We start from the raw sequence: 18,351 nt of genomic DNA, 5'->3' as shown, positions 1-18,351 counted from the left end.
GCCCTGTAGACAGATTAAATATGATATTGCTTTTAAAAGTTGTCTTCGAAGGACAGTTCACATAGCCAGTCATGAGGTCATAGATCCAGAAGTAGTTATACTTGTGTTCAATTTCTTTGTCTCTTTTCCTTTTTCACCAGTGTTATTAGATGATCTATAAGTTTCTCAAGCTAGCATGCATTGATGGAAGTCTAGACAAATGTATTTTTCACAAACAGTAATTTTTCATTTAAAATTAAGTAACTGATAAAGATCCTTGTAAGATAATACTTAAAAGACATAAATTTAAGGCATCTATTTACAAATAGATAATTGGTGGGGAGAAGAGTGGTGAATCAACTTAAAAGTGGACAGATACATTTTATAAACTACTATCTGATTTTTTTTTCTCTGAAACATAGTGCTAATTACCCTCCTCATATATCTTCAATATCCTTCCCCACTCTTAGTTAAAATAACTAAAGTCCAATCCCTCAGTTATAACTACAGAGTCCCCACATTCAGACTCACCCTGACTTTTGCACATGAGATCACATGGACCCCTTGCATGCCTGCCTTTTGAGTGGCTTCTGAGAGTGAAAGGAAGTACCATTAATTATTGGACAAAAACAGTGTTATAACCCTGGACTTCCCAAAGCAAACAGGCAGGTGAGATTACATTCTTGATGTTCCTTCTTCTTGACTTGCTCCTTGCTCCCTGCTCATTTTTAAATCCCAGACATTCTTCAAAGCCTAGCTGAGCCAATACCTCTTCTATCATACGTTGTATGTTAGAAAAGTAGACATTAAATATGTTAAAAAGTAAAGCAAAAATAGTCACTTCTAGGATAAAGTCTTGTTTTTCTAATATTTTGATATATTAGCAATTTTATCACTTGACAATTGAACACTTCTTACCATTCAACTCTTCTCAATTAATTGTACCTTTTGTGATACACTTAGCTACATGTGCAAAATTCAGGATCAAGGTCCCCATCTCCCCTAATAAGCAACATATAGATACCCTATATATTATACATAATATAGTGCTTTGTAGGCCATGATAAAGGGTTCAAACGCAGGAAAAATGAACCCTTTATTGTGGCCTTACAAAGCCCTATATAGTTGTCTACATCTTCTACTTCAAACCTTATTTGCTTCCATTTTCTATTCTATTCCCTATGCTCAAGCCACGCGGGCTTTCTTTCTATTCCTCAGACGTGCCCATTTTTTTCCTGCCTCCCTTAGAATATTTTCCCTTCTCCTCTGTGCCTGCAATACTGCTTCACCCACTTGCCCCTGGGGTCCTTGGAGGTGAGCACCTTCTCATTACTCACCACGAAGACCCCACACGCACTCTGTCCAAATAGTACACCATTTTACCAGGATCTTCCCACTCCTTTTGTTTCTTTTATTGCACTTACAATAAATATTTTGCATCCTTACTCAGTAAACTTTGCTGAATGAGTATATAAGCCCATGAATAAACGTCCCATAACTTTTCTTCTGACCTTTATCTCATACCAGAATTTATTATATGTAGTTGCCTTATCTCTCTATGTATAAACAATGAGCTCTCTCAGGTCAGAGACCACCCCCAAAAACTCATAACACAGAGTCTTCACAAGAAGGTGCATTTTAAATATTTATTACATTAATACATTAACATTATGTTAGTGACTGTTTAGAGCAAAACCATCAAGGCCATCTTTCCAGATCCTTATGTTTCAGGCAGATGTAGGCAGTCTCAAAAGGGGAATGGTAGAGGATTCTTAAGAAAATGATTAGTTTCTTCTTACCAGTCTGAGTCTGGAATAAAGGTAATCTGCTGTCAATTCATGCTGGTCTTGAAAGACATTCTTTTAGAGGTGAGTTCTATCCCAATGCCTATTCTGGTCAAAGGGAGTCTTTGAATCTATAAGACTGAAGTGACCATATCCTTGGATTACGCCTCCTTGCAGAAATCCTCCCTGAGAATTAAGGCTTTATTAGAATTCCTGAGACCATTGAGATTAGGAAAATTGTAATTTATTTGGCACCTTAAATTTAGCTCACTAAGGGGAGTTTCTTGTGTACCAATAACAGCTGCATTCCTGCCAGTCAGTTCCTTGAGCAGCAGGCAGCGAGGTAAACAGCAAAATACTCTGTAGATCAGGATCCAGCCTCAGGCTTGACTTTACTTTCTATTTTGTTATATGAGGTAAAATATGATTATCACGTGTGAGTTTGACAGTTATCATTGAGCTGAATATTTGAGTCAATCAATTTCCTAAAGTTTAGTCTGGTATAGTCAAAAAATCTTTTGTTTCCTTAAGAGTCAAAATGCAGATAACATTAACCTATTACAAGGTTTAAATAACTTCATAGGTGAGAAAATCCCTAGTGTTGTTGTAGGACATTGTGGATAGCCAATATACATTCATTTTTCTTTTCAGAGCTATAGCAATGTTAGCACCAGGAGCAAGCAGCTAAATATATAAGCTCACATCAAAAAAAAAAAATATATATATATATATATATATATGATTTTATGGGACTGAAGGAGTAGAGGGCAGTTGTAGCCCTCCTGTCCATGATCTTATTTCTCCAGATATGTTAATTACTGTTGACTGCCATAGCTGTAGGCAAGCTGGCTTTTGAGGCTAGCAGTGGTGGGGAGGGGGATATGCTCAGAAGAGATTGGATTAAAACTTTGCAGACTCTATTAATATTTTTATATCTCTTCTATAATTATCAGTTCTATAGGACAAATACTTTTTATTTTAAGCTATTATTTTTCTTTCTGTTTATGTAGCATCTCAATATGCTTGCTGCCCTGGAGTAAAGAAAGAGCGAGTCTAAGCCCTATGTAAATATAGGTAGGTGGTGATGAAAGGTTTTCGGTGATACTATGAAGAAAACATCTGTCATGGCTAGTAGGGAAAAGTTTCTCTCCTGGCAAACATATTTTCTGGGCCACATGAAATAAGATGTGTGCCAACAAGTATAAAGTATTATGGGGAGCCTATATCCAGGCCTTTGCTCTTCCTCCCATACTCTGCCTTTACACTTTTCCCAAAAACATCAATTTTGCAGACTTTGAGAAAACATTCTGCAAAGGGGCTTTTCGGGGCCCAAGAGAAATTTTGTAGCAGCCTCAATATCATATCAGTTTCCTGGTAAGCAACTGCGCTTGAAGCTTAGTTACAGAAGGGCACCAGTACACCTTTCCTCCCATATACGCCGTCTCTTACAGGTTCGCAGGCATCTCTGGTGCTAGGAGTGTACTTTCCAGTATTGGTAGAGCATTCATTAAGTTTACAAAAATAAAGGATAGAAAGGGAAAAAGATCATTTGATAAGACGTTGCAATATTTAAGAGGTCAAATTTCTGTGTCCTTCATTCCCCCTGGAAAATACTTGTTTTCCAGGTAACAGAAAGCTGTTTCTTTGATTAAAATGATTAATACAAATGTGTGTAGAGATTATACATGTTCTTAACCATTTATATATGATTTTAAAAGCCTCAGTTAACTATACTGTTCCCACTCTGGTTACACATATAAGCGTGCGCACGCGCGCACAAACACACACACACACACATCAGACCCCTACAGAAAAACATACTCCATGGTCCCATGGAGCCAAATATTCTGAGGCAGGATACAATTGATATTAGTAACATAATACCAAATATTTAAGAACTAATATCATTTAGAAGATATTACATGGAAGATACTGTGGAGCAATCACTTCTGCATTGCTGAGTCTGTGGAGTCTAGCTAAATATATTCAATCTGAACCTTGCAAGAAGAAGAAATGTGCATAGAGGTTTAAAAGAGGATGGTAATTTCTAAGAAACGTGAGTATTTTCTTATGATTGAAAAATGGTGTTCACAAAGGAGATGGCAGAAGATGGAACAAGTAAGCTAAACCAGTGTCAAATTTTAAAAGTCTGAAATGCCAGGATAAAATTGTTGAAGTTTAGGTAAACAAGATGTTAGCCAAGACTTGTAAGCAGGAACTAATATGATCAAGTTTGATTTTCAAAAGCTAAAAGTAGCAACAGTATATATTTTCTGCCCCTGGCATTTATTGACTTTGAGTACATGCTGTAAATTTGGATGCCCTTTCACACTGATACCAGCTATATTCTAGTAAGTGGTTAGCCACTTTATAGGTCCTAATGGTGCTTACTTCTCAGTCCGTTTGCCTGATGAACAGCATAATGCATCTGTCCAAAGTAAAACATTCCATATGACATTGTGTAGGGCCATGTTGATCAGTCTGCAACCATTGCCTTCCCAGTGGGCAACATCTATACAATTCTGCAAGACCTTCTTCAGCAGCCTTTGTAGTCTTTCGTTGTGTTGTACTTGTTTTCCCCTCTCTGGCTTAGTCACTCCATTCAGAGCCCTGGGTCAGAGCTGTCTTGGCATCCTGCTGCTGGCTCCTCCACAAACAAGATGTCCTCCCGGAAACTGATATTCCACCTTGAAAATTTATTTCAAAAAGAGGCATTTGGCCTATTGCTCCCTGCCAACTGAGACTCACTTGTGTTTGCTTTTCCATTATTGGTTGGCAGTGACGACTCACCCTTTCAACATCATAAGGCTCAGAAGTGATTCTGGCAATATCTACTGGGGGAAGATTACTTTATTGAGATCCTCTTGCCCAGCTCACTTCATTTCTTAATTGGTTTCGTAGGTTTCTTTTCAACCCATCTTTCTTCCTGGGCCCTATTCCAAACTCAAAGCATGCCTGTCTCAGACTTCATTAAGCCTTTTCTTCATGAGGATTCCTCTTCTTGAAATAGAAAACAGGACCCAACTACCCTAAGACTCAGCGTGCTACATAAAGTGATTTCAAAATACTATCTACAAAGATGTTCTTGACAAACAGCTTTTGATTTGCTTATTACTTTATTTGGCATACACTCAAGCATTTTAATTTCTCACTAATTTTAGGCTATTGAGACTTCTTAGAAATAGGCTTTTTCTGTTTGCATTAGTGAAAATTTTTTAATGGACTTAATTCCAGGTGGTCTAAACGTTGTATTTCCTGGAAGAATATCATATTTTATAGTGGAAAAGTCAAAATGATGACACATCACCTTATTATACTATAATCATCCACGGCCCTGGGAACTCAGGAGTCATGTAGTTCTCAATGCTAAAAAAGGGTTATCAGGCTGGTTGCAGTGGCTCATGCCTGTAATCCCAGCATTTTGGGAGGCCAAGGCGGATGGATCACAAGATCAGGAGATTGAGACCATCCTGGCCAACATGGTGAAACCCTGTCTGTACTAAAATACAAAAAATTAACTGGGCATGGTGGTGCGTGCCTGTAGTCCCAGCTACCCAGGAGGTTGAGGCAGGAGAATCACATGAACCCAGGAGGCAGAGATTGCAGTGAGCCGAGATCGCACCACTGCACTCCAGCCTGGTGACAGGGTGACAGACCAAGTCTCAAAAGGAAAAAAAAAAAAAAGGTTATCCAATGCTAGGTACTGTTTCTGAAGTACAAAATAAAATTATGTGTGTGAAGTACTCAGCACAGAGCTTGCTGTTCAGAAGATGTTATTCTTCTTATTTCTAAATTCAAATTTTCATAGATGAGAAGTTCAATGCCAGTTGATTTTTTTCTTTGTAGTTCTACTTCTAGAAGCTTGTATGAGCTCTTGTTTGTTTTTGTTTTACTTCATGTTCAGAGATTTTAATGTGATATACCCTGTGAGTCTTTCCAATTAAGTGTGGAATTAAATAAGCCATTGTAATCATCACATTCATTATTCATTTTTGTTATTTCTTATCTCTCTTTGTAGAATTTATATAAGTAGATTTTTAAAAAATTATTATTGCCATATTAACTTTCCTGGGTCTACCTTCCACTTCCCTAATGTTTCCTTCATCATCTTTGTTAATTCATGGCTTTATTTTGCATTTAAACTTTCTGGACAAAAAATCTGATTTCAGCTATCTTCTTCTTAATTTAATCTACTGAATTACCTTGGATTGAGTTCCCCCAGCAGAGGGACTGTGGCAAAATTTACTTATGTGAGGTTTGTTTGGAAGATCTCTGGTGGTCCACGTAGAGGCATGAGGAAGTAAAATAAGAAAATGAATGGAACCCAGAGAGGGTGCATTCTCAAGCAAGTTAAAACTGTGGGCAACTGGTGCTTATTCCACCACAGAACTCTGAGAAAGAACATACAAGTTAGCCCATGCAAGGGTTGAACAACCTTGCCTATTTATACACCAATTCCTCCCCAACCCCACCCCAGTCACTAGTTGAGACTTGGAAAGCAGATTTCTTCCCTGTTCTATGCTAAGGTGGAGCTATCCAGAGGCCAGAGCAAGCCCTCAGGCAAAAAGACAAATCAATGCTGATTGCATGGAGATAGTAGGGCAGGGGGATATGAGCAGAGTATCAACAGCATCTGTTACCATTTGTTTCAGTGGGTGATGAAGAAATACAATTAAAAACAAAAATCTTCTCCCAACCCAGAAAAACTCTCCTCTTTCCAGAGAAAGTGAACACTTTTATTAGTGAATGAGCATTAAACCTGAATGTGATGCACATCACAGGCAATCTACTAAGAGATTGCAAAGACAGAAAGAAATCTCACATTTTTTTATAGCCAAGCAGATACAACCCATTACATATGTGTTTTCAAGGAAAACAATAAGTAGGCCCAAGTAAGAGAATGTGACAGCACCATTTGTCAAACATAATTCACCCTAACCTTACCTGGCAATTGGGGTGAGCATCTGAATTAGCTAATTAGCTTTATCCAAAGGAAAAACAAACAAACTTCTTGTGTCTTTATGACAGGAAGTAGTTTTGCAACTTGGAACAAGACATCCACAAAGTTAGGCTCCTATCCTTTGACAGAAACTGGGAGACAGGGATGCTATCTCCAATGATGTTTACATTTTAAAGAGATGGTTTCCTGAGCCCTTGGGAAAGATATTACTAGGTCATAAACCTGACAAAAGGCCTATCTAGTCTCCAAAAGGGTTTATATATATTTCAAAAGGAGGAGAAAGCACTTATAATTACAAGTTTTCTAACATAAATGCTCTGAGAAAAAGGAGAGTGGGGAAATCTATTTTCAACAGGGAGAATCTAGCCTCTGATTTTTAATTTGTATTTGTCTGTACATGGTAAATCATGTCTTTTAACACCATACATTTTGTGTCTGAATTTCATCTCCTCAACTTCTTTTAAAAATGTTTTTATTCAAGCGTTCATCTTTTTTCCAGCAATTCAGTTGACATGTGTTTAAATGGCATGTGTTCAAATGTTCTTTCTGCTTTTCCTCTTTATGACTGCTAGTATTGGTTGCTGTTTTTATTTGTTAGTGTAGATATGGTTGTTGAAATGCAATAGTGTTAGAATCCTTCAAACAGTGGAAACCAAAGTGATTCTCACCCTTGTGGGCCTGTGATGCCCTGATACCTTTGCTCTTTGGTTTTTCTGATTTTTCCCAATCTCAAAGGCAAAGTGTACTCAACCAGTTTCTTGGTTTCTTCTCAGCTTTTGAGGTCAGGGAGAACTAGTACACTTACATGCACTTCCTCTGCGAGTCCAGAGATCTCTGAGTGCCAGTTTCTTCCCAGCACCTACTCCCCATTTTCTGTGTCTTGTCATTAGATTCCAACACTGTTTTCCAAGCACCTCTGTAGTCCTAGACCAGTTTCTTCTACTGAACCCTAAGAAAGCCCATTTGTATCCAGTTGGAATTGAGAAAGAAAAGATAAGAGAAGATCATTGAGATAAGTGTACTCCCATATTGCCCTGTTCCATGAAACAAGTATTTGTGAGTACACTAATTAATAGGCAACTGAAATGTAGGAAAACAAGTCTCTCATATGTTAATTCAGAGTGAAGACCTATCAACTTTTCTGTAGATTCCATTTGGTCAAGATTAATTGCCTTCTTTTCCTTGATTAAACAGCTGCTCTTACTATATCAAGACACTCTTTCACTGTTTGGACAACACCCTTTTATTATTTGAGGAATTAACCATCCTTGATATAGCCTAGAGTATATGATTTAATGTTCCTATTCTCTAGTAAACCCACAGACTACAAACCCAAGATAAGTAAACTTGTGTTTGGCACTAATCACTTGTGTTTGGCACTAACCACATCTCTGTGTTCAGAATCCTGGGCTACTTTTTAAAATATCACCCTTGGTTCTTTTGATGCTTGTAGTACTTTCTGTGCCCTTCATGAATCTAGTGAGTATTGTGTGGATGTGCAATTGTGAAGATTTCCCTTCTCATAGATGACCATTTGGAGTATGGATGGCCTGATCCTGGAAGAATTCTTGCCACATTTAATTCAAAGATAGCAGGCATTTGGAAGTGAAGTGACAAGAGTTAGAGGTGCTCTTCAGGATCTAGCTATTGCTTCTCTATCATGCACTTATATGCATCCATTTGTACAAAAACCCTTTGTGTGTGTAAATTTGGGGCAACTAATTTGTTCTGTCAGGAAAGAATTTCCACATATGCCCATTTAAAAATGTCTTTAAATTGGGGATTCAGAACAATCCCATTCAGGCTAAGGTATAAATAATAAATGTGTGTTTATTTGAATTTCTTGATGGTAAAAGCTGTGCAGACAATAGATTTATTTATTTCTGAAGAAGATTTATGTTAAAAGAAAGTTCCCTGGGGCATCAAGAAGAAAAAGCCTGCAAAAAGCACTTTAGTAAATTATAACTCTGAGGTAAAATATGGCAATAATAATTGCTAAAGCAAAAATAAAAGTACAAAACTTGGATATACAGTATATCATGTGTTTTCAACTTTTTTATTATTTGGTTTATTCCTGTCATTGGAAGAGCTACTCCTGTGAAATTAATTGGGATTTTAGAAGTTTAACTCTTTTGGTTCATATATAATTTAGCATATTGTATTAAAACTAAGATACTTCCTATAATACTGTTTAGTAAGAGTAATATTGGATTTGGTCTTGTGTTACTACTGTTATAACTACCCACATTTTATAGGTGAGGAATTCGAAGGCTGAAATAGTGGAGTCACTTGCCCAAGTTTACACAGTATTAAGTGGAAAAGCTGGAATTTTTAATTCTGGCCATCATGAAATAGAAACTGTACTGTTAATTGCCATGATATGTGGTCCATGTTATGTGATCCATGTAACATATTGTAGATAATAACCTTACAGTCTATTTGAAAGGTACAAATTCAAGAAAGTACACATGATTCTGTGGACTAAATGTTTGTGTCCCTCAAAATTCATATGTTGAATCCTTGATCCCTGATATGATGGTATTTGGAAGTGGGGCCTTTGGGGGTAATTAAGTTTAGATGAGATCATAAGGGTGGAGTCCCCCATGGTGGGATTAGTACCCTTGTAAGAAGAGGTGCCAGAGCCCTCTCTCTTCTGCCATGTGTGGGAGGATACAAAAATAAGGTGACCTTTCTGCAAGCCAGGAAAAGAGCCCTCACCAGGAACGGAATCTGCCGGCATGTTGATTTTGATTTCCCAACCTTCAGAACTATGAAAAATAAATGTCTGTTGATTAAGCCACTCAGTTTATGGTATTTTGCAGTAGCAGCCTGACCAGACTAAGAAATATAGTGATGTTTATTTTTCCTTATCTTTCTAAAACACTTGAGCTTTTTGGTTTAGAATAATTTTCAAGTATACATTTCCTTAAAGTTATACATTTAAATTAACTTAATAACTAAACCAATATCAAACTGATACACTCTTCCTTATACCAAAGTAACATTTAATTTTATTTAAATTTAATTTGGAAACTTTTGTAATTATATTATTTCAAGTGAATTTAATGTACAGAATAAACATTCATTAACATAAAAGTGTGGCTTTGGCATAGGGCAGACCATTTTCAAACCCCTTACTAACTGAATAACCACAACCAAGTTACTTAGCTTCTCTGAGAGAAAAACTTTAACCTTATTTGAGTGTTTATAGTATGCCAGGCACTGTACTTGCAATTTATGTATGTTACCTCATTTCATCTTTTCATGAGAGGTCCGCAGTCTCCCTGTTTTACAGATTAAGAAGCTAAAGCTTAAAAATTAAACAACTTTCTTCAAACATCACAGATAATAAATATCAGAGCTATTAATTCAAATCTAGATTTATCTGACTCCAAAATTCATTTTTTTTTTAAACCACTATACTCTAGTGCTTCCAAAATCCACCCAATGTTTCTATGGTTCTATAAACATTAAATTACATATGTACATAAAATATGCAGGAAAGTCTTTACTGTAGATGCTTAAATAATAACATAAAAGCGGTCATTTATTTTTAATTTTGCTGGTCATGTATCATAGAAGACACTGTATTTGGATCGTAGTATTTTCTAATACTGAAGTTCTCAGTATCAGGATGCCCGTGAAGGGAAGTCACGTGCTAAGTCATAAACTACTGAAGCTGTGAGAAACCTGAGACATCATCATGTCTAATGTTGCCTATTGTTTTTGGTTTATTGGACTTGCAGAACATTATCGTCTCACCTGAAATTTTTACATATAACGAGGTCCAACTTGAGCTGATGTCATTGAATGCATAGGAAAGGATCATCATTTTGATCCAAGGTGGTCCCTGAAGTGTCTCCTGGAAACCCTGTGACTCCCTATAACAACATTTGAAAACTTCCTCTTGGGTTACCTCCTCTTCTTTTGCGTACGAAGTAACTGGGAGCCACAAGAGCAAACTACTTGCTGCAGTTTCCCACAGTTAGTAGTTCTAAGGCAGCTTTTAACTTCTGGTCAAGGCTCTTGCTGGACCCTGGGCTATATAAGAATCTCTACAGAAAAGGTTGATATTTGAAATATTGAAATTTGAGTTTTGAAATATTTGTTTTAATACACAGAGAGAAGTAAAATAAATAAATAAATAAAATATTTCGGTCTTTAAAATCATGGCAGTTGAGGCTAACCCATATTACTAAAAAGTTTCCAGTCTTTAGGACCTTTCTCTTTAGACTGTAAAGATTCATAAGGTTGATTTCAGGGCAAAAAAGAGTAAGCATTATATTTATACAGCTATTGATTCTCCTAAAGTTGAAATATCCTAATCAGAACCTATGCAACTGCCCATACCGTTATCCAGTAAGGTAACAAGCCACAGGAGGGACTAGGTGGGAGAGGCTATTGTCAAAAAGGTTACTTATCCTGATTTTTTTATGAGCACCACAATAGTCTTTTGGATTACAACCTTCTATTGTTTGTTTATTTACATAGCCTGTGTTTGTGCTTATAATTGCAGAACAAATATGTAATGTGGTACATACTTTAATTGCGTAGTTTTTTTATCTTAAAATGAATTATAACTGAATATGCATATTTAATGTTGGCAGAAACACTTCCTATTCTAACTTGGGTCCAGTTGGAGGCTTGCAAGTTAACAGACAATAGATTAACAGAGGAAAAGACAAAATTTACTTACACAGTCATGTGGCAGTTGCTCAGTACTGAGTAGTTCACTGAATAGCCAGAGATAAAGTTTATATACCAAACTTTAGGGAAGGGAAGTTTTCAGATTTTAATGAATGGATGGTTCTGATAAGCCTTGTTTACACAATATTTTGGAATGTCCTAGTGACTAAGTCCAGAGCCTCCCTGATTGGAGACCACTCCAGAGTCAGGGGTTGTGGTAGCTGACTTTGGTAAATCTCTGTTTCAGTAAGATTATGGATGTTCAGAACGTATTTTTTTTCTGCTTCTTTAGCTCAACTGTTTTCACTTTAAAATAACATTTGTGTGAATCCTGGGGCTCCAAATGGGTCTCCACATTTTTCCCATCTGAAACTTCGCTAGAAATTTCACAAAAAAAGCTAGGTTGATTGCTCTGGGGAGAAATTTCAGGTTAAAAATTATAAAATATGATATCTGTAAAAGGGAAACAAAAAGATTAATGATTGAAGCATAGGATAAATCCAGTTTTTAACTTCATAGTATAGCCCACTGAGAAGAGTTCTTGATGTTGAGCTCTAAGTATCTTAAGTGAGAACAGAAGTGGTATGGCTGTAGTCATGGTTATTTTCTGGAGCACAGCATGGAAGGTGCAAGTGTTCTGGTGAAATTTTTGAGTGGCCCAAACTGTTTCAGCAATAAATCTTTTGGTGTTTATGTGAAGTCAGAAAGCTTTTGTTACAGGATTCTGGGAAAGTGGCAGTTTTAGTTCTCAGTGATTCCAAGTGAGGAGGGTGGTAGAAAAAGTGGAACTGTTAATTGATGACAAAATTAAGAAGATGGTAGGACCCAGTTTACAAAGAGATGCAAGTAGCTAAAAAACAATAAAGATTAGAATCTAATAACCCGTAAGAGTGGTTTATAGTTTTCCATTGAAACATAAACCTTGTCTTTACAGTACACCTCATTTTTAATCAATGATAATCAAAGGAAAATTATTCTTGTTTGCAAAACAAGTCCTGATTACATTTGATTTGGCTTGATTATAACCTAAGTGAAGCAATAATGATAACTGACCACATGGATCTTTTTAAGTTTCCTCTGCTGGAGTTTTTTATTAACATAGGGAATCTCAGATTGGACTTTTAAAAGCCTTCTCAATGCTATGAAACCAAGCCAAGAACCAACCACCCTACTTCACCTGCAGTACCTATAAATTTTGGTGAATTCCTCTCTTCTCGAGGTCCCCAGACTATCCCAAGTATCCTAAGCCCATCCAGAAGTGACCTTTGTTACTTATCTTAAAGGCTAGAAACCCTGTAATCTAAGTATCAGGCCAGTTTTCCCAAGAGGCCTTTGTAAGCAGTGGCTCCATAAAGTCAGTCTTAGTTATGGCCATGTGTGGTAGCTCACGCTTATAATCCCAGCACTCTGGGAGCCAGAGTTAGGGGATCACTTGAGCCCAGGAGTCTGAGACCAGCCTGGGCAACATAGTGAGACTTAGTCACTATAAAAAAAAAAAAAAAAAAAAAGAAAGAAAGAAAGAAAGAAAGAAAGAAAGAAAGAAAATGAAAAAAACTTTAATTACTCAAAATTGCCTGATCACATCTGATTTGATGCACATAATTCTCAAATATGACATTCCAGTCCAAACTATGGTTATATAACGAGTTTCCAATTTTTTTTTTGAGAACAGATTCCCATTCCTATTGGACTTATGCAACTGTATTGCCATGAAAATAAGAATATTCAATAAGAGTTTCCCAATTCTGAAGGAATTAGACAAAGAGAAAAAGATAAATATTTCATTTCTGTTTATAAAAGTATCATCAATTCAAATGGTATGAAGTATAAATAGCTTGAGAAAAGAGAAAAGAGTTCCTTAAATTCAGAAAACAGGACATTAAAGAACCAGTACTGTTTCAAACAAAGGCCATAACAAATTATAATCACCCTTTCTTAGTCTACTGAGGCCCATATAATTACTTCTTGTTCTGCTTAACTTTATGAGGGGTCTTATGAACTCCTCAGTGTCTCCACTATAGTTCTGAAAATCTTTAATCAGTCTTGTGGTATGTTCTTTTTTTTTTTTTTTTTTGAGACAGAGTTTGGCTCTGTCGCCCAGGCTGGAGTGCAGTGGCACCATCTCGGCTCACTGGAAGCTCCACCTTCCGGGTTCATGCCATTCTCTCGCCTCAGCCTCCGGAGTAGCTGGGATTACAGGCATGCGCCACCACGCCCGGCTAATTTTTTGTATTTTTAGTAGAGACGGGGTTTCACTGTGTTAGCCAGGATGGTCTCGATCTCCTGACCTCGTGATCCGCCCTCCTCAGCCTCCCAAAGCGCTGAGATTACAGGCGTGAGCCACCGCGCCCGGCCCCTTTTCTTAAAAGTATTTAAATAATGACATCAGAAGGTTGCATCCCAGAGTACCTGTTATAGTCATTTCCGTGGGTCTCAGAGGGAATCCCGTTTTGTAAAGACAAAGCATGCTATCCAGTAGCTGCTTCCAAGAGCTTTCAGGAAAGCATCAGAGTAAGATATATATATATATTTGCAGTGACTTTATTTCTTCATCACATTACCTAGGGTAAATTACATAATTCACAAGAATTTGACACTGTTGTCATCAGCCACATCTGAGTGGAGCATTTGCTTCTTAGTTTGGTATTAATAGTAACTACCTATGAATGACAAAAAGCTTAAAATGGCTATGTTAAATATCTGACGTGAATTCATTATAACACAGTTGACAAAGGATTTTGGTGGTTTCTGTGGAATACAATATTTAATTTATGGAATTTAAATCATAGAATTATGACTGACTACATTATACCAGGACGTATCAGGGAGATCAAGGTTATTGACCAATTCCTAGGAACTTCATAAAATTTCTGAAACAATAAAATCTACCCATACAAATATAAGGAAATTTAAGTAACTCTTCTTATTTGACAATGCTTCCCATACATTTTAACATATCAAATGAACCTAATTAGTTTAACATCTCTCTTTTTACAAAGTGAGAGAACATGAATCCTTAGAGATTTTCCAGGGGCTCTCTGAAAAATCTAAGTTGGTTTGGGGTCAAGCAGACTTCATTTAGAATTTGATTTTTGCAAATTGTCAAAAATGTCAAAAGATTGAACACTGCATTAAATAGGATCACAGGTCACTGTGAAACAATACTTTAGTTATCCACTTACTTAAGTGACAATACAAGATTTCAAAAGTAAGTATACGAGGTAACATACTTGCAGAGAGAAAAACAGCAACAACAAACAAATAAATTAAAAAAAAACTCAGTTTTTTTTTTTTAAGTGAGAGGACTTGGTTCTCATAAATAATTAAAGATGTGATAAATGTTAACATAAAGCGTAGGAAATTATTCTGATAAGACACAGAATGTTTTCTAGGCAGATTACTTAACAGGTAAAGAAAAAGTTTTATAATTTCTTATTAAGGGCAGACCAGTAATCCAAGAAAACTTTGTTGTTTTAACAGAGAAAAACCAAACTCTAGTTTTGAATCAGTAATCTTTTGATATACATTTTGTCATTTGAAAGACCACCAGGATGGCTAAATAGTAGAAAGGAGAGCTTTATTGGCATTAACTTGCAAATTGAGAAGAGAAACTCTCCAGTGTGGATCTAAGGTGCTCTTTATTTAAAGAAGGGAATGACAGGTTAGGTCTTATGCCTCACAGGGCCTGTATTATACATATTCAGCATGTTTTGGGGGAAAAGCTATATGTATTTATGAGAGGGCATGCCCAGTGGGTAAACATGTGTATAACATACATCCCATGTTCACTCTGACGTGAGGTTTTAGCATTGAAATGACATGGAATTCAGCTCTTTATGTCAAAAGGTGAACTGTAGTACACAAAGACAGTTTGTGTGCAGTCCCTATAAGCTGGCTGAAACTGGCTTAAGTTCTGCAATAGCTAATCAGAAAAGAATATTTGTAAAGTCAGTCCTCTGTCCTGCAGAGTTGTGGTGGTTTGGGCTGTAAATCAGCCTGAGAGCTCTGTTGTTAAGAAGTTTAGCTGAGGTGTAGTTTTCCTTATAGTGGTAGGAATTTGGAAATTTGCCATGCCATCTGGGTCCTGAACACTGGACTCCTAAGTAACTTTTGTTTCCTTAGCCTTAGGCCCATCTTGTTTGATAAATGGGCATCAATTTTGATCCCTCAGATCACAAGTCTATTAAAACAAATTTTTATAAAGAAACCCATTCAAATGTAGCCAGCTTTGACCAGGCAACATAAGACTTATTTTCTATAAAACTTCTACAATTTTTCATATCAATGCAATATAAGAGTTATTTCCCACTAACATTCTAAACTTTCAGGAGTTATTTTTCTGGTGGTGGTGGTGATGGTGTGATGCCTCACAGGAGGATCTAGAAGGGCAAAATACCAGCACCTGGAGTAGAACAAAGGAGGAATATGTGTTCCACATTAGATTATGAACAATTTATGATATATTCTTCATAAAAATACAAAAAGCAGGTAGCTACTATTCTTAACTTGACAACTTAGATCACTTTCCTGCACAATAATCTTCCTACAAAGAGCAGTATGGGTTTATAAAATTATTGGATACACTGCTTATGGAAGATGTGATTCCGAAGGGTCATCCCAAGTAGCAAATGATGATCTTCCAAGGAGAGTAGGGTCAATTAACTGCTGTTTTCTTTATTTTATTGAGCTCCATAATGAGCTAGTCATGTCACTCTAGGAAATGTCACTCAATGACCATATTATTTTGCTTAATAGAGTTGAAAATTATTTCAGTTCCCTAGGAAATTCTAGGTGTAAGGAGAGGGTAACACAAAAATAACTGAATGGGAATCAACATAGGAAGTAATAGAAAGGGACAGTGTCAAGAAATCTCTGATTTAATTATTTCAGCATGTATGCCCAAACCAGCTGGCCCCAGAATAAACAAGCAGCTTGCACCTTAGCAGGACCCAAAGAGAAAAGAAATCTTTACTACACCTCATGAGAGTATTTTCATTCAGTGTAGTGTTGCCTCTCCTCCCCAAACTGATAATTGGGCACTAAGAAAAGCTCTCAAGTTGAAAAGTCCTAGGTAGAGTTTGAAAGTATCCTTAGAGAAGTGAAGAATGGATTTCCAGGCTGCAAGGTGCTATTATCAGAAGTATTTGAGTAGGTGAAGGGTATATATACAGGAACGCAGGGATGCCTTCCCATCTCTTTCATGGATCCTTCATCTTTTAAAACAATGAGCATTTCTAATCAAGTAAACACTCACATTAACATGGGTTATACAGTTAACTCACATGACATCAACAGCAAATTTGTTCTTTTTTAAATCCAGGTAAGGTCTATTCATGTCATGTCTCTAATCTCTACATAAAACCAAGAATTACATGTTTAGTTTTATTTTTTGAAATTTAGTGAAGTAGCTGCTGGTTGTTTCTGTGAGGGACAAGAAAGATAAAACATAATTAATGTTATTTATGTTAACTTTTCTGCCACATTTTACATCTTGAAATTCTAAAAAATGCAAATCTGCTTGCAAAATGAACTGGGTCTGGATCTGAATTGGCTGAAGCTATTTAAGTCTTCTAACCACAGTTTCATAATCTGAAACATGTGAATATGTACAAAATGATTTTGATTAGAGATGATATGTATAAAATACTTAGTATACATTAACAAAATATATGGATCACATATTGATTTGCTGTACACCTGCACTGAATTAACCAGGTTTCAATAATGGCTTGGGCACAATACTAGGAAAAGTCTCTTCCAATAGAAATGTATTAGGTTGGTGCAAAAGCAATTATGGTTTTTGCCATTAAAAATAATGCCATTAAAAGCAATTAATGGCAATTGCTTTTCCACCAACCTAGTATTATTGGTTAACCAGAAGTTACGTAGCCCATGCAGAATCAATGCCAGCAAAATGTTAAACCACCCTTTAATATTCCCCTGTTGACAAAATAAATAAATAAAGGCAGCAAGCGATAGAAAAGCTGTGGGTATAAGGCTTGCTGATAATCTGGGCTGGTGAGAACATAGACTTGGAAATAAGCCTTGACTTGTATAGTTACCCTACTTTTTATCACAATCAAGTAACCTTCCTAACTTCTCAAAAAGTGGCTAGAAAGTTTTAGTTTTCTTAAAGAACACAGTGATAATCTTTCACTTACCATCTGCAAAATGCTGAACATCAAGCACAAAACAATTCTTCCCTTCCAGAATGTAGTCATGTAGACTACAGTGTTAATGGCAATTCTGTGACTTATTTTCAGGGGTTTAGCATTTTCATTTAGCTGATTAAAATCTGTTGTAGATGATAATTATGCCGGTTTTTAAAATCATTCAAACACTCAAAAATGATTTTAAAATCTTTAAATGGCTTGTAGCAGATTTTTATTTCTCAAAGGGTTTCTTTGAGAAAATTATGGAAGCAAATTATGGAAAATTTGCTTAAATTATACACCTTTGTCATATTCTCAGTAAATGTTAAATCAATGTAAAATGAGTGGATTTGTATTTCTAAAAATAACCTTTTTCACAGGAAGAAGAACTAAGGAAGAGTGGGGAAGCCAAATATGCCCACTTGAGTGATGAGCTTCATGTATTAATTGAAGTGTTTGCTCCACCTGGGGAAGCTTATTCACGTATGAGTCATGCATTGGAAGAGATTAAAAAATTCCTGGTTCCTGTAAGTGTCTTTCATTTTTTACAAAGATGTTTCTTATCAGCTTCTATTTTAAAATGCACCTTTGATCTTCACTGACTTTTTAAAAGGAAACTCATATTGCAAACCAATGATCTATCCACAGGTCGATACAAAGCTAAAAAATAAAATAGGATACCAAAACCACTTAACACAGGACCTGGCGTGTTGCCATATAGTGATGGTTCCATAGCAATGTTTGTCATGCTGGTGTCATGCCATGCATCGGTTCATAGTCATGAAGAAAA

General features: G+C 36.4%; 1 protein-coding gene across 7 annotated transcripts in view; it reads left to right on the top strand.

Annotated features, from left to right (window-relative positions):
* Positions 1–18,351, top strand: part of KHDRBS2 (KH RNA binding domain containing, signal transduction associated 2) — a 743,556-nt gene that overhangs the window by 290,072 nt on the left and 435,133 nt on the right. For all 7 annotated transcript variants that reach the window (NR_146870.2, NR_146873.3, NR_146874.3 and 4 more), the window contains exon 4: positions 17,942–18,088. Coding sequence is in view for 2 of the 7 variants with exons in the window: in NM_152688.4 (NP_689901.2) it covers positions 17,942–18,088 (147 nt within the window). In the remaining 5 variants the exon portion in view is untranslated. The remainder of the gene's footprint in view (positions 1–17,941; positions 18,089–18,351) is intronic.

The sequence above is a fragment of the Homo sapiens genome, chromosome 6 (genome assembly GCF_000001405.40).
Source record: "Homo sapiens chromosome 6, GRCh38.p14 Primary Assembly".
In the NCBI taxonomy this organism is placed as follows: domain Eukaryota; kingdom Metazoa; phylum Chordata; class Mammalia; order Primates; family Hominidae; genus Homo; species Homo sapiens.
Note: the sequence above shows the minus strand (reverse complement) of the source record. Positions and strands in the feature narration are given on the sequence as shown.